Here is a 17,026-nt window from a genome sequence, read left to right as displayed (position 1 = left end):
CTGGCAAGTTTCATCTTCCTTAAAAATACACAATCCACTACTAAGCTGGTGAGAGGAAATCTTTTTTAACTTATTATTTTTCCAAATACCTTGACATGAGTCATTTTATACTCCTTAATGGATAAAGTCTTTTTTAAATTCTGAAGTCAAGATGAGACCCTTTTTAAATATCTACTTTGTAAACATTTCATTTTTCGCTGAATTGTTTGCCCCAATTATAAGACCAAGTTATTACTTGATTAAGAAAGAAGAAAGAGGAGATTGTTTTAGTTGTATATTGTTGTGTAATAAATTATTACACAATTTAGTGCTTTATTAGACTAACTGTGAATGAGGAATCTGGACCCAGTTTTGGCAGGTCTCCTAATTCAGTGTCTCTCATAAGGCTACAGGCAAGTCAGTCTGAACATCTGACTGGGGAAGGACATTTCCACGATTACTTATGTGGTTGCTGGTAGCATATACTCTCTCAAGAACAATTTGACTCTAGGCTTCAGTTTCTTACTAGCTATTGGTCAGAGGCACTCTCAGTTCCTTGTCACATGGGCCTACCCATCATGATCACATTTTCCATCACAGCCAGCAAAAGACATAATTTGCTACCAACATAAAAATTACAATTTCTGTAGTCTAATTATAAAGTTACACTTCATCACTTTGCCATATTCTACTTGTTAAAATCTATTCGATAGGCTAGGCTGTACTCAAATAAAGGAAATTTCACAAGAGTATGAATACCAGGATGTGGATATCATTGGGAGCCACCTTGAAGTCTGCTGTCACAGTAGTGAACAGGCTTCATTTAAAAAAAAAAAAAATCCACAAATATTTTTATGGACCAACAGGTTCATATGCCTGCTGCACAATAACAGAGACAGCAGAGTTTGTAGCAGAGAAAAAGTTTAGTGATAGTAGGGGGGCTGAGAGAGGAGATGGGAAGGACACTCTAATCCATCTCCCCAAGGAGTGCTGCAATGGGGTTTAGGGGAGATTTATATGGTTTGGCTACATCCCTACCCAAAACTCATCTTAAATTGTAGTTCTCAGAATCCCAACGTGTTTGTGGGAGGGACCTGTTGGGAGGTAATAGAACCATGGGGGCAGTTACTTCCATGCTGCTGTTCTTATGATAGCGAGTGAGTTCTCACAAAATCTTATGATTCTATAAGGGGCTTTTTCCTCTTTGTTTGGCACTTCTCCTTCTTTCTACCATGTGAAGAAGGACATCTTTGCTTCCCATTCTGCCATGATTGTAAGTTTGCTGAGGCCTCACCAGCCATGCTGAACTGTGAGTCACTTAAACCTCTTTCCTTTATAAATTACCCAGTTTGGGATATGCCTTTATTAGCAGCATGAGAACAGACTAATACACTAAATTGGCCCTGAGAGAGTGAGTTGCTGCTATAAGGATACCCACAAATGTGGAAACAACTTTGGATCTGGATAACAGGAAGAGGTTGGAACAGTTTGCAGGGCACAGAAGAAGACAGAAAAAGTTGGAAAGTTTGGAACTTCCTAGAAACTTGTTGAATGGCTTTGCAATGCTAATAGTCCAGGGTGAGGTGGTCTCAGATGGAGATGATGAACTTGTTGAAAACTGAAGTAACGGTCACTCTTGCTGTGCTTTAGGAGATCTGTGGAACTTTGGACTTAGAAGATTTAGGGTATCTGGCAGAAGAAACTTCTAAGCGGCAAAGTATTCAAGAAGAAACACAGCATAAAAGTTTGGAAAATTAGCACCCTGATCAGTGCAATGGAAAAGAAATACCCATTTTCTGGGGATAAATTCAAGCCCACTGCAGAAATTTGCATAAGGAATGATGAATAGAATGTCACCAGACAATGGGGAAAATGTCTCCAGGGCATGTCAGATAACTTCATGGCAGCCTCTCCCATCAGAGGTCTGGAGGCCTAGATAGGAAAAATGGGTTTCTGGGCTGGGCCCAGGGCCCTCCTGCTCTGTACAGCCTCAGGAAATGGTGCCTTGCATTTCAGCTGCTTCAGCTTTAGCCGAGGCTAAAAGGGGCCAAGGTATGGCTCAAGACATTGCTTTGGAGGGTGCAAGTCCCAAGCCTTGCCAGCTTCCATGAGGTGTTGAGCCTGTAGGTGCACAGACGTCAAGAACTGAGGTTTGGAAACCTCCACCTAGATTTCAGAGAATGTATGGAAATGCTTGGATGTCCAGGCAAAAGTTTGCTGCAGGGGTGGAGCCCTCATGGAGAACCTCTGCTAGGGCAGTATGGAAGGCAAATGCTAAGTTGGAGCCCACACAGAGTACTCACTGGGGCACTGCCTAGTGCAGCTGTGAGAAGAGGTCTAACATCCTTCAGAACCCAAAATGGTAGATCCACCAACAGCTTGCATCATGCACCTGGAAAAGCTGCAGGCACTCAACACTAGCCTGTGAAAGCAGCCAGGAGGGGGCTGTACCCTGCAAAGCCACAGAGGCAGAGCTGCCCAAGGCCATGAGAGCCCACCTCTTGCATCAGCATGACCTTGATGTGAGACATGGAACCAAAGGAGATAATTTGGAACTTTAAGGTTTAACTGCCCTATTGGATATCAGACAAGCATGATGCCTGTAGCTCCTTTGTTTTGGCAAATTTGTCCCATTTGGAACAGATGTATTTACCCAAAGCCTGTACCTCCATTTTATCTAGGAAGTAACTAATTTGCTTTTGATTTTACAGGCTCATAGGTGGACTTTGGAGTTAATACTGAAATGAGCTAAGACTTGGGGTTTTGAAATGTGAGTGCATGAGATTTGGGAGGGGCCAGGAGTGTACTGATATGTTTCGGCTATGTCTCCACCCAAATCTAATCTTGAATTGTACTTCCCATAGTCCCCACGTGTCATGGGAGGGATCTGGTGGGAGGTAATTGAATCATGGGGATGGTTACCCCCATGCTGTTCTCATGACAGCGAGTGAGTTGTCATGAGATCTGTTGGTTTTATAATGGGCTTTTCCCACTTTGCTTGACACTTTTCTTTCCTTCTACCATGTTTGCTTCCCCATCCGCCATGATTGTGAATTTCCTGAGGCCTCCCAGCCCTGCAGAACTGAGTCAATGAAACCTCTTTCCTTTTTAAATTATCCAGTCTCCAGTATGTTTTTATTAGCAGTGTGAGAACAGACTAATACAGGGATCATGGATGGAAAGAGTCTGGAAAATTGGGGTTCCTGACTGGTTGAGTTAAGGGGGATGAAGTTATTAGGATGTGGAAACTGCATTTTTTAGTGAGTCAGCTTCTTATCAGGTCCTTCATATCAGCAGATGTCAGTAGTTTAACTAAGAGTCAGGACCTCAAAGAATATCTGAAATGGGAAACTTAATGTTTCACAATGCTTAAGTCGTTATGTATAGGGCAGTTAAAGAAAACTATAACCTTGCAACAAGGCTGATATGATTCTGAAGCAATTGGAAGCAAATAACTATGAGGAAGCAGGTCAGAGAGCAAGCCGGCCTAATAAGTAATGCTGAATGTGCTTCAAGCTTGGTTTATTTTTCTCTGCCTCCCTTCTTCGCTAATTAATTTTACAAAGTTTATAAGGACGATTTCAACATTTGAAAATTATTTTTCACAATGGATATGTTAAAGGTGGAAGGCTGCGGTGAGAAGAATAACAGCTGGTCAAATATTTCTACATCCTAATCCCTGAAAGCTGTGAATATATCACATGATAAGAGGGAATTTAGATTGCAGAAATAATTAAGGTGGCTAAGCCAGGTGCAGTGGCTCACTCCTGTAATCCCAGCACTTTGGGAGGCCGAAGTAGGCAGATCACAAGGTCAAGAGATCGAAACCATCCTGACCAAAATGGTGAAACCCCATCTCTACTAAAAATACAAAAATTATCTGAGCGTGGTGGTGCATGCCTGTAGTCCCAGCTACTCAGGAGGCTGAGGCAGGAGAATCACCTGAACCTGGGAGGCAGAGTTTGCAGTGAGCTGGGATCGTGCCACTGTACTCCAGCCTGGTAACAGAGCAAGACTCTGTCTCAAAAAAAAAAAAAATTATAGTGACTAATAAGATGAAGTTAAGATAGATTATCCTGGATAATCCAAATGAGCCCAATGTAATCGGAAGGGTATTTAAAAGATGGTAGAAGCAGAAGAGTCAATGTCAGGGTGGTATAGTGTGAGAAAGACTTGCTCATCCATAAATGGCTTTGAAAATTGAATGGGGCCACAAGAAAAGAAAAGTGGGCAGTCTTTTGGAGCTGTAAAAGGTGAGAAAACATGTTTTTCCCCCAAAGACTTTGGAAGAAACTCAGTTCTTCCACTGCTTTGATTTTATTCCAGTGAAACTCATCCTAAACTCCTGACCTCCAGAAATGTAAGATGAAAAACTTGTGTTGTTTAAGCCTTAAGCTTTAAGGCACCAAATGTATGGTAATTTGTTACATCAGCAAATGGGAAAAAGATACAGAGGTGATTTGCCAGTTTTCTAATGGGGAAAAACAATAAGAAAATGCTAAATTAGGCAATATAGACATAGATTTAAATATTTAGATTTATGATAAGAATATATATGTATATATGATTATGTGCATGTGTGTGTGAATGATGAGAGATTAAGGTTAGATAAACACAAAGTTTGTGTAGATGTTATAATTTAATTTTTTTAAGTGGCAGGTTTTCACTCTGATGCCTAGGGTAGAAGTAGGGTTCATTGACATGATCACAGTTCACTGCAGCCTTGAACTCCTGGGTCAAATCGGTCCTCCTACCTTAGACTCCTAAGTAGCTAGGACACCAGGTGTGCACCACCATGTCTGGCTTCATAAAAAAATTAAGTCACATTAAATAGGCCCAATATAAACACAGAGCCTAATTTTAAATCATTACAACTAATTAACATTTATTTTAGCCTTTCTGAAATAAGTTTGAAATGGTAGAAATTATATTTATTAAATAAATCAAAATAATGCCTTTAAAAATGTGATCAAAATTTGCTCTCATAACTTCATCTGTTTTTAATCACAGGTTTTTAATCACTGCTTCAGCCACTCAGGGAAATTTTCACTTCAACGGGGTTACTATGCTAAGTGACTTTGGCTTAGCACCAATTAACAAATGAGCCTACTTCCTAGTACATTTCTAATTTTCTGAATTTTCCTGTATTTTAAAAATTTCTATTAATTCATTTATAATCATCACCCCCATTCAGCTTCAAAAACTTGGAACTGTCATGCCTCGATGTTAGAGAATAATATCCTACACTTGTTTTAAGAGGAAAACCACGTGTTATTAATAGCAACTGGAAGCTGACAACATATATTATGCATTGGGGATTAGACTTAATTTACAAAGCTCAGGAACTCCAAAGAAAATGTGTGAATTTATAGCATTTGGGTATTGAGCTATATTTCTAAATTTTATGATGTTCCAAGGGGACTTCCTTCTTTCTAATATAAAACATCTGTGAAATTTTTAAGAAAAGTTTTAGCATAGTCTATGAGCAACACCCCCTTGGGGTATGATAAAAATTAATTATAATGTACCATAGTTAAGAATACAATAAATTTATTGCAATTAAATTTACTGAAGAAAATTTACCTGTATGCTACTGTACAGATGACAAAAGGTCTTTCTACATATTATTTTTATGTCATAGAATCTAGAATTGTTAATTCATGATGAAGACAGTTTTCTAAAACAATACTTGTGTTATTAGCCATACTCATGTGTTTATACTGCTTTTGATAAAGTAAATAACATTCAAAGTAAATAATATTCAATGGTACTTGTTAAAGCATGGTAAGGAAGATTTTCCTCAGAACCACTGAGATAGGTGGAGGAACAACTATAACAGAGTCTTGAAGTGTGGGAGAGAGATTGGGCCTAGCTGCAAAACAGCATGGGCAAATGGAAATTTATAGCTAACTAGCATTGTGGAAATCAATAGATGGAAAATTACTAAGACCAAACAGAAGTAAGGGGGATTTTGCCTAAACTCACCTAACAGGATTCTTGCTGAAGCTAGGCCAGGGTGATCAGTCATCACCTGAGAAATGGTGGAGGATTAGAATCCCATTCAGACATTGAGGGTAATCAGATATCAAGGGTGAAGAGTTCTTGTCAAACTACCTTAGTAGCATTCTTTACCAAAACTGAATTTTATAAGGAAGTACATATACAGAGTTAGAAAAAGGTTCAGAAGCTTGACTAAACTATGGCCATGCAACGAATCCTTGTCACTTTGAGCTCTGTAGGATATTTATGTACACAGGGAATTATAGAATGTCAGATTTAAAGAGTCTTTAATGATCACGCAGGCCAGTGTACTCATTTTCCAGTTAAGGAACCAAATCCTATGAAGATTATAAAAGGTACATAAATTTACATAGTGAATTTTTAGTAGGGTGAATATGCAACCCAGCTACTAATCCCCAAGCTAAGTCCCTTTTCATTCTCTATACCATTTTTTAAAACCACTCACCTATCTCAAGACATTAATGAGGATCCTGGCACACTGACATAAAAATCTATTAGAAACAAATACTTAAAAACTTTATTGTTTGTAATGCAATCCCGTTACAGGAAAAAATTCACTGACATATTACATATTTTGTAAAGGAAACAAGTATGTTGTGCCCTGGTTTGCTTGCGGCAATTCTAATTTGCTCCTATGATTCCAGCCTAAATATTAGAGACTTTTATTTTTGTCAGTCAAGCAGGATGCAAAGCCATCAGCTGAGTGTCAAAATAGCATTGTGAGGATGATAAAGGAGAAATGATAAAATAGTATTTATACATAGTAAGAAAATAAATTTTCTAAAGACACAGCATAAGATCAACAGGCAATTTCAAGTACTTATTTGAGGCATGTTATTATTAATTTAAAGTTAAACCAGTGAGACTGTTTGTGTTTTTGTCTCTAGCAAAATTCACCTGCTTGGGTAAAGCATACAGAAAATAGTTTGTTTTGCTTTTGATTGTGGTCCACCAGTTAAGTGTGATGGTAGGAGAGAGGGGGTTGTTGTTTGAAGACATCTGCAATAGTTTAACTATAAAGAACAATCCACAGAATCAAATGTGGGAGAAAGAGAAAATGTATAAGGTCAGTGCAGTGGATATTTAGATGCCGGAGTGATGACCGAGGAGTGTTGCAGAAGTGAAGGGAAGGAATGGGAGGCAGTCATCTGGGAGATTCATAAACAGTGAACTTACCTGTGATCACAGAAGCGTGGCTATAGGAATTAATAAATATGAACCAGGAGCTTAAGTGAGGAGCATGTGTGACACTGAAGAAGTAGGAAGGGCTAAGAAGTCTACACCTGACAGCAGAGCAGAGAGGGTTTGACAGAGCACTGTTGAGATAGAACACCAAGTCCACACCACACAGCCCCTTCCTTCTGGCTCTGAGGCTAAGTAACAGTAAAAACAGGTTCCTCTGAGAATGCTAGAGACAGGAGATATCATGAGGAGCAGCTGTTAACAAAGGCTGGAAAGTGTAGAGAATATTCAGAGAAGAGGTTAACACAGTGTAGAGATCACTGCTAGCAGTTACGGGGTTCCCAATGGCAGAAAGGAAAGTAGGGGTTGGCTGGATTTTGAGGATTATAAAAATCATGATAATGATATGTAATAATTCTGCAACTATACAAATCTCAGTGAAATGGGATATTCCCACACAGAACACTGTATTTAGTTAGGCAAGAACTATAAAATTATGTCCAACACTAAACATCATATAGTTTATTTGTAGACTAGCACACCCCCTGCTGGCTCTCAAGAGTATCCAATTTACATTGATTTTTAGCTAAAATAAAGATTAAAATCAGTAAATTGACAGAGTCAAAAGGCAGGAGTTTTTTGTTGTTGTTGTTTTTGTTTGCTTAAGGCAAAGACTGTAATAAAATAGCTGGCAGAGTTCAGAAAAAAAGAAAGAACGAAGTCAGGAGGAAGTGAGAGAGAGGGAGACAGGAGGAAGGGAGGCAGAGAAGAACAAAAGGGAGGGAAAGAGACAGAAGGGAAGAAGAAGACAAAGAACAAGAATAACAAACATATATATTGCAAACTGCTATGCTAGTTAAAAGTTCCTTCCTACACCTGTCCACAGTCCTTAAGGGTAGTGTGGTAGTATTCATATGGCTTTATATTACAACACTTTGGCTCTTCATAACTCTCTTATAAACTTCAAGGTGCTATATTGATACAAAATTACTAGTAGACATCCAAATCACCAGGATCAGTCCTGTACAGAGCAGGTAAAACTCCCGAGCGTGATAAAAATGCTCTATATTTTAACTGCGTTTCTAGTTGCACGCATTAAACTAGTCTAAATTCACGAATACTTTGGTTTGTGATTTATCAATCAATTTAGTTGATGAAAAATATTAACACCTGGATACCAACCTGAAGTTTCTAATTTAAATTATCCTGGGTGCTAGCTGGGCATCAGCTGTGTTAGGAGTCCCCAGGTGATTACAATTGGGAACCACTCCACTCAGTGATCTCTCCCCCAACAACCTGCCACAGGAATGGAAGTCTCAGGCTGTTTCTACTTGAAAGTACTGATCAAATGTAGCATTACCAGGTATGGACAACTTGATATTATGGGCTATATTACTCATCTAGGACTGCCATAACAAAACACCACAGACTAGGAGCCTTAAACAACAGAAACTTATTTTCTCACGGTTCTGAAGGGGTGGAAGTCCAAGATCGTGGTGTCAACAGGCTTGGTTTCTCCCGAGGCCTCACCCCTTGGCTTGCAGACAACAGCCTTTTTATAGCATCCTCCTACGGCCTTTCCTCTGCGCATGAGCACTCCCAGTGTCTGTCTCTCTCACCTGTTGTAAGAACACCAATCTTATTGGATGCTATAGGCCTCCACCCTTATGACGTCATTAAACTTTAAATGCCGGTTTAAAGGGCTTATATCTAAATACAGTTACATTGAGATGTAATATAAGCTGCTGAAGGCTTTCTCCCTACTTTGAGTTCTTCCATAACCAATTGCAATCTAACTTAGTATGAAAAGAAAAAAAAAGCTAATTTAAAAGTATAGTTTTGTAACAAATAACCAGGGTTTCAGCCAATCACAAACAGTTAAGCTTAACTAATCACAGCTAGCCAAGTGAACACACTATGCCCAAATAAGGCAGATGCCTGGCTGTAGTCAATCAGGCGATTTCTCCATTTTGCATCCCTATTTGACCTCTACAAGCTCACTCTTCACACAGCTGGGTGAACCGCTCCGAACTTCTTCTGGTTCTGAGTTATTCTAAACCAATCTTTGCTCAAATAAACTCTGCTAAATTTGTTTTGTCTGAAAGTTTCTTTTAATAGTGGGTTAGGGCTTTGACATATCTATTTTGGGGACATATAATTTAATCCACGATATGTACCTCCTATATTAATAAGGCAGAATCACCTCTTAAGTATTCTTGCTAATAAATTGAACTTAGAGCTATTCAAAATTTTATGTCTAACTACCAGTTTACAGGAAACACAGAGACTAAACCTCTGTGACAAGGAGCTACAAAGATGACTTTGGAGGAATGGGCAGGCTTCAATATGTTAATAGAAAATTGAACTGGACAAGTTAAACAGGTAAGGAAGACCTTATACAAGACTATTGCAATAGGAAAGGGATGTTGAATTCAACTGTCTTGAAACAAAAGGCTGGAGAGCTTTAAGCACCAGGACATGCTAGTGGAACAGTACTGGAAAACTTTACAGGATAGGTTGATAAATAGGATTAGACCATCTATGTTTCCTAATTGATACCTAATTGGCACCTCTCCTCTCACAGAGACTGAAAGATAGAGGTTCTATCATTCTTGATGATTGCATTTCAATGGGATGACTCCCAGATCCTTGAGAAAGAGATTCCTAAGTTGTAAATTCGGCAAGAGGCTTCATGATTTGCATCTCAAAGAAGCAGATAAATGATTTAAAATTGCATACTTTATAAAGCAAATGCTATAAGAAAAGGTAGCTCAGAAACCTATGGGTAAAATGAAACTTGTCTAATGTTTACTCCAGCTGAAGGGGAAATTAACACCTTTTTGATCAAGGACAACTGATTCTGTTTCTTCAAGAGTTAATGGAATAAAAATGTTAGAGGAAACACCTAATTTAAAAAATACTTAAATACAACACAATGCAAGATATGGGCATTTATTACAGACTGAACTGAACAGACCAACTTTAAGACTTTTTTGGGGGGCATATCATAAATATTTTAAATAATTTTTTTGAATTGACAAGTATCTATGAAGGACAATGTGATGTAAGAGATGTACATATTGTGAAATAATAAAATCAAGATAATTCATATACCCATTACCTCACATATTAATTTTTTGTTGTAAGAACATCTGAAATGTACTCCCTTAGCAATTTTGAAATATGTTATTATTAACTATACTCTGCTGTGCAATAAACCTCAAAAACGTATTCCTCCTAACTGAAACTTGTACCCTTTAATGCACATGTCTACACTTAATGCCCCAGCCCCAAACCAGCCTTCGATAACCACCATTCTCCTCTCAACTTTTATGAGATCGACATTTTTAGATTCCACATACAAGTAAGCTCATGCGGTAACAGTCTTTTTGTGCCTACTTAATGTCACTTGGCATAATGCCCTCCAAGTTTTATCCATGTTGTTGCACAAAACAGAATTCCATTCTATTTTTGTAAGACTGAATGGTATTCCATTGTACATATAATCCCACTTTCTTTATTCATTCATCATTTGATGTACACTTAGGTTGATTCCACATCTTGGCTATTGTGAATAATGCTGCAATGAACATGGGAGTGCAGATATCTCTTCAAACTACTGATTTCAATTTCTTTGGATATATGCCCAGTGGTGGGATTGCTGAATCATATGGTAGTTCCATTTTTAGTTTTTAAAGGAACTTCCAGACTTTTCCATAATGTCTGTACTAAATTGCATCCTTGCCAACAGTGTATAAGGGTTCCTTTTTCTCTACATACTCACCACTTATGATCTTTCACCTTTCTGAATATAGTCATTCTAACATGTATGAGAAGATATTTTATTGTGGTTTTAACGTGCATTTCTCTGATGACTGATGATGTTAAGCATTTTTTTTCATATGCTTGTTGGCTATTTTTATGTATTTTTTTGACAAATATCAATTCATGGCTCACGCCTGTAATCCCAGCACTTTGGGAGGCCGAGGCGGGCGGATAACGAGGTCAGGAGATCAAGACCATCCCGGCTAAAACGGTGAAACCCCGTCTCTACTAAAAATACAAAAAATTAGCCGGGCGTAGTGGCGGGCGCCTGTAGTCCCAGCTACTTGGGAGGCTGAGGCAGGAGAATGGCGTGAACCCGGGAGGCGGAGCTTGCAGTGAGCCGAGATCCCGCCACTGCACTCCAGCCTGGGCGACAGAGCGAGACTCCGTCTCAAAAAAAAAAAAAAAAAAATCAATTCATGTACTTGCCTATTAACTTTTATTTTAGGTTTGGGGTACATTTGCATGTTTGTTATCTAGATAAAATGCATGTCACAGGGATTTGGTATACAGATTATTTTGTTGTCCAGGTAATGAGCATGGTACGCAATAGGTAGTTGTCTAATCTTCTGTCTCCTCCCAACCTCCATCATCAAGTAGGTCCCGATGTCTGTTGTTTCTTCCTATCCATGTGCATAAAATGTTTTCCCATTTGTTGGTGTTATCTCTGATTTCTTTGAGCAGTGTTTTGTAATTATCATTGTAGAGCTCTTTCACCTCCCTGGTTAGCCATATTTCTAGACATTTTATTCTTTTAATGTCTATTGTGAATGAGTTAGTGTTGTTGATTAGGTTCTCAGCCTGGATGTTGTCGGAGTATAAAAATACTATAGGTTTGTGTACATTGATTTTGGATCCTGAAACTTTGCCAAAGTTGTTTATCAGATCTGGGAGTTTTTGGACAAAAACTGTGGGGTTTTCAATGTATAGAATCATAAATCTGCAAACAGATATAGTTTGACTTCCTCTCTTCCTATTTGTTTGCCTTTTATTTCTCTCTCTTGTCTGATTGCTCTGGCTAACACATCTATTACTATGTTGAATAGGAGTGGTGAAAGTGGGCATCCTCGTCTTGTTCCAGGACTCAAGAGGAATGCTTTCAGCTTTTGCCCATTCAGTATAATGTAGGCTATGGGTTTGTCATAGTTGACTCATTATTTTGAGGTATGTTCCTTCAATGTCTAGTTTGTTGAAGGTTTTCTACATGAAGCGATGTTGAATTTTATTGAAAGTTTTTTCAGCATGTATTGAGATGATCATGTGGTTTTTGTTTTTAGTTCTGTTTACGTGGTGAATTACATTTATTGATTTGCATATGTTGAAACAGCTTTGCATCCTAGGGATAAAGCCTACTTGATTATGGTGGATTCGATTTTGGATGTGCTGCTAGATTAGGCTTGCTTGTATTTTGCTGAGGATTTTTGCATCAATTTTCATCAAAAATATTGGCCTGAAGTTTTCTTTTTTTGTTGTGTCTCTACCAGGTTTTAATATCCGGATGATGCTAGCTTCATCCAGTTAGTTAGGGAGGAATCCTTCCATCTCAATTTTTTGAAATAGTTTCAGTAGGCATAATACCAGCTCTTCTTTATACATCTTGTAGAATTCATCTGTGGATCTGTCTGGTCCTGGGCTTTTTTCTAGCTGGTAGGCTTTTTGTGACTGATTCAATTGCAGAACTTGTTATTGATCTGTTCAGGGATTCAGATTCTTTCTAGTTCAATCTTGGGAGGTTGTATGTTTCCAGGAATTCATCTATTTCTTTTCAGTTTTGTAGTTTTTGTGCATAGAGGTGTTCATAGTAGTCTCAGAAGATTTTGTATTCCTGTGGCATCAGTGGTAATGTCCCCTTTGTCATTTTTGATTGTGTTTATTTGGATCTTCATTTTTTCTTTATTATTCTTGCTAGCAGTCTATCAATCTTATTTTTACTTTCATTTTGACCTTGTAGAATCTGACAACTGTGTCTTAGGGATAGTCATCTGGTATAGTATCTCACAGGGGTTCTCTGCATTTCCTAGATTTGAATGTTGGCCTCTCTAGCGAGGTGGGAAAAATTTTTGTGGATGATATCCTCAAATATGTTTTCCAAGTTGCTTGCTTTCTCTCCTCAGGAATCCCAATGAGTCATAGATTTGGTCTCTTTACACAATTCCATATTACGTGAAGGCTTTATTCATTCTTCTTTATTGTTTTTCTTTATTTTGTCTGACTGAGTTATTTTGGAAAACTGGTATTTGAGCTCCGATATTCTTTCCTTAGTTTGGTCAATTTTGCTGTTAATACTTGAGACTGTATTCTGAAATGCTTGAAGTGAGTTTTTCAGCTGTATTAATTCAGTTTGGTCCTTTCTTAATGGCCATTTTGTCTTTAATCTCCTGTATCATTTTATTGCATTCTGTAAATTCCTTGGATTAGGTTTTGACTTTCTCCTGAATGTTGATGATCTTCATTCCTATCCATATTCTGAATTCTATTTCTGACATTTCTCACATTTCAGCCTGGTTGAAAACCAGCGCTTAGGAACTAGTGCAGTTGTTTGGAAGTAAGAAGATATTCTGGGTTTTTTAATTGCCAAAGTTCTTGTGCTGGTTCTTTCTCATCTGTGTGGGCTGATGTTCCTTAAATCTTTGAAGTTGCTGTCCTTTGCATTTTTGTATGCCCTTGGGAGTTTGATTGTGGTAAAAGGTAAGTTCAGTCAACTGGTTTTGATTCTAGTCTGTTCCTTGGTCTTGGAGAAGCCTGCTCTCATTATTGTCTCCGTAAATGTGTTTCTCTTGTTGGGTGTTCTGGTCAAGATCTTGGAAGTCTGGAGTCTTATAAATTAATTAAATTTGTTTCTTCAAAACCTTGGAGTAAAACTGATGCTACAGAAATACATACCACAGATATTCTCCTCTTGTGCATCATCCCTGCAGAGACTTAAGGTTGCGGCTACTCCAGTTACGGAAGCATGTAGTAGTGGAGTAATTAGAGTTAATAGGAAAAACAGGGAGCTTCCTGCCTGGACTCCCAAGAAGCCTGAGAACTGCCAGGACCCAGGGCGGTTAGGACCTAGGCCCGCCCCTACCTACTTTGCCCATATTTATTGTAAATTGAGTTATTTGTTTTCTTGTTATTGAGTCGTTTGATTCGTTATACATTTTGGATATTAATCCCTTATCAGTTTTATGATTTGCAAGTATTTTCTGTTACTCCATAGATTCTCTCTTTACTCTGTTAATTGTTCCCTTTGCTGTGCAGGAACTTTTTAGTATAATGCAATACTATTCATCTATTTTTGCTTTTATTCCCTGTGTTTTGGGGGTCAAATCCAAAAACTCATTGCCCAGTCCAATGTTGTGGAGGTTTCCCCTTATGTTTTTGTTTAGTGGTTTTACAATTTCAGGTCTCATATTTAAGCCTTCAATCCATTTTGAGTTGATTTTTGTAGATGTTGTAAGATGAGGGTCCAATCTCATTCTTCTGCACATGGATGTCCAATGTCATTTATATATATTTTTAAAAACTGTCCTTTTCTCATTTTGTGTTTTTAGAACCTTTGTCAGAAAACAACTGACTGTAAATGCATAGGTTCATTTCTGGGTTCTCTATTCTTTTCTGTTTGTTGGTGTGTCTATTTTTTATGCCACTGCCATGCTCTTTTAAGGACTATAGCTTTGTAGAACATATTTCAAAATCAGATAGTTTGATGCCCCTAGCTTTGTTGAAATATACATTTTTTTAGTCAATCAGTGGTACAGTAGTCACCCCTTATCTGTGTATTCACTTTCCATGGCTTCAGTTACCATCAGTCATCTGCATTTCAAAAATATTAAGTGAAAAATGCCAGAAATGAACAATTTATAAGTTTTAAAGTGCATGCTGTTCTGAATACATAATAAAATTTTGCACTGTCCCAACTCTATCCCACCTAGGGTATGAATCATCTGCTTTATGACAGTTATATTATTATAATTGTTCTAGTTCTTATCAGATATTGTTGCTAATATCTTGCTATCCTAAATTTGTACTTTAAACTTTATAATACAAATGTTTGTATAGGAAAAAACGTAAAATATGTAAATTGGTACTATCCTAGATTTCCTGCGTCCACTGGGGATCTTGGAATGTATCCTCAGAGGATTAGAGGGAACTATTTTATTTTGTTATGAACTGGGTGCTATATAAAATCAATACATTATTTTAAATTTTGGTTAAAAATGCCATTATTTTTATTATGAAATTAGTCATATGTTCTTACCATTTGGAGATATATGCTGAAGTGTATAAAGGGATGAAATCACCTGATATCTTCAATATGCTTTAATATACATCCATAAATCGGAAACCCTCTTTTTCACTCTTGTTTTTCTACCTTCTTCCCTTCCTTCCAGCCTTCTGTCCTCTGAGCATACCTGGGGGCAATAATAAGGACACTTAGAACTCAGACCTTGATTTTTAAATACCTTAGAAAAATGTTCAATTCCAGGACAAAGGAAAAGAAAGAGTAATCTGACCCTGAAATAATTTTTGTGTGTGAGAAAAATAAACAATTTCTTGTAAAATTATAGGGGTATATTAAAATAACACAGAAGCCAGCTTCAAGGAGCTTTTTCAATTAAATCTAAGGCAATTTGAGCATTAAAATCCTACTAATATTAGATTGTTCTAATTAAAACAGAAATGTGTGGATCAACACAGATACTAATACAGAATAAATAGAAGTCAAATACCTTTCTTACCATAGAACACCAACTAGAAATGTAGAATAAAATATTAAATTAGAAAATCACATTTGACAACCATCATATTAATAATTCATTAATTTACCTGAGAAATATCAATGGATGCTAAAACTAATGTGGAAAGAGGGATGAAAATTTGAGATTTACATGGTTTCGAAATATCTTGTCATAAAGGACTCATTAATTGTAGTGGGAATGGGATGGGGAAACATCGCTTTATGATGGCAAAATCTGTCTGATATCATCTTGAGTAGCCCAATTTAACACTGCAAGTAACGAATCCAGTAGACATTGGGTGTCACTTGATAGAATGCCATGAGATAGCAGTATTATTTCTGTGATAATTTAGCTAAACAATGCATCACCTGAATCTACTCACGCAGAAATATCCTATAAACACACATGAAAAAATATTCTACAAAATTATTGGTTTGTAATAAAAATTTCTTAGTCATGTAAGCCAATAAAGGCTGATAAATTATTTCAGATTGAAGGAAACTAGAAAGACATAAGAGAAAGTCTAAATAAGTGAGTGCAATATATGATCCTAGTTTGGATTTTTTTGCTGTTAAAAAAAAGAATACACTATGAAATCAATTAGAGGTTCTCTATATGTTGGATGTATAGCATTCTTTGTATTATTTTTGCAAGTTTTCATTGAGTATGTTGCCTGAGAATATGAATGCATTTAAACAATATAATGGGTATATAAATACAAGGAATTTCAATGATTTTGGAAAATAATTCTGAATTGCTATTTTTCTGTATTCTTCATATGAAATTTTGATCATTTAGGTAATGTAGAAAAAAATTAGAAAACATAAAATATGTTCCTGCATTAAAAATGTATGTAATAAAAATCTCAAACACATAAAAAATTGGGAGAATTTAAATTAACTCACATTTTTCTACTCCTATCTTTTAAAATTACAAAAAAATTAACAAGCAATTTTGTTTAATTCTTTTCAGAACTACTGATTCACTTATTTTAAATTTCAAAGAACGTTGAAACTTAGAGAAAATTACTAGAGTGGGAAAAAGAGGGAGAATACTCGTTTTATGCTGAGTAAAATAAACAACACACTCTCTTTGAGGACTAAGTTCCTCTGTGATAGTGTGCTAGAGATGATGATAACTCCCTTATATTACTAAGTTACTGTGTATGCTATACTGAGCTAAATGAAATTTTACCAACCTGAGATAGTCTGTGTCTCTTTGCATAACTATACTGAGAATAACTTTGCCACATGGCGCCATAACTTACATGAGCTCCTTCAAAAGCAAAATCTGAG

The 17,026-nt window shown here is 37.1% G+C and overlaps 1 long non-coding RNA gene across 1 annotated transcript in view; it reads right to left on the bottom strand.

Annotated features, from left to right (window-relative positions):
* LOC105370283 (uncharacterized) overlaps window positions 1-15,384 on the bottom strand; it is a 59,397-nt gene extending 44,013 nt beyond the window's left edge. Inside the window, exons 1-2 of the long non-coding RNA XR_942125.2 lie at window positions 15,251-15,384; window positions 8,648-8,801 (exon numbers count right to left, since the gene is read on the bottom strand). This is a non-coding gene — a long non-coding RNA (uncharacterized LOC105370283). The remainder of the gene's footprint in view (window positions 1-8,647; window positions 8,802-15,250) is intronic.
* Window positions 15,385-17,026: the final 1,642 nt, after the last annotated feature.

This window comes from Homo sapiens, chromosome 13 (assembly GCF_000001405.40).
Source record: "Homo sapiens chromosome 13, GRCh38.p14 Primary Assembly".
Lineage (NCBI taxonomy): Eukaryota > Metazoa > Chordata > Mammalia > Primates > Hominidae > Homo > Homo sapiens.
The sequence above is the reverse complement of the archived record's forward strand: the minus strand, read 5'-3'. Positions and strand labels throughout refer to the sequence as shown.